Here is a 506-nt window from a genome sequence, read left to right as displayed (position 1 = left end):
TTTCTCCAAGCTTACGGAATCTTACTTTTTGGGTGAGAGGGGGCGGATGATGAAGTCAGGGAAGAAGCAGCTTGGGCCTCCTGCCTGGGCACCCTCCATAGATCCCTCTCCACCTCCTGCTGCATCCAAAGCCAAGGCTGCCTGCCCTTCCTCCCTTCCTCTGCTTTCACCAAAACTCTGGGCACTGGACTGCTTGTTCCCTGGCTCACCGCCTGGAGGAAACAGAAAGGCTTCATTCTCTTACTTTCCCCAGCCCCCTCGGGGGTATACCCTGGCAAATATGGGGGTGAGGACAGAGAAGCTCAGTTCATTACTTCCTGCCCTGAACTTGGGCACCTTGAAGATGCTTCTGCCCCACCTACTCAACCTGTTGTTACTGTTCTGGTGCCTCCTCTTCACCAGACTAAGCTTAATCCCCAGCATCCAGCAAGTGCCCGGCACGTGGTAAAGGGATTGTGGCAGAAATGAACGCAAGGTCATGGCCAGGCTCCCCGAGGTGGGAGGGC

At 55.7% G+C, this 506-nt stretch overlaps 1 annotated feature.

Annotated features, from left to right (window-relative positions):
* Window positions 277-456: an enhancer, noted in NCBI's record as "active region_11933". NCBI's record gives its function as "activates an Ori minimal core promoter by ATAC-STARR-seq in GM12878 lymphoblastoid cells {active_cell/tissue: GM12878}" and the evidence as "EXISTENCE:reporter gene assay evidence [ECO:0000049][PMID:35858748]".

This window comes from Homo sapiens, chromosome 17 (assembly GCF_000001405.40).
Source record: "Homo sapiens chromosome 17, GRCh38.p14 Primary Assembly".
Lineage (NCBI taxonomy): Eukaryota > Metazoa > Chordata > Mammalia > Primates > Hominidae > Homo > Homo sapiens.
The sequence above is the reverse complement of the archived record's forward strand: the minus strand, read 5'-3'. Positions and strand labels throughout refer to the sequence as shown.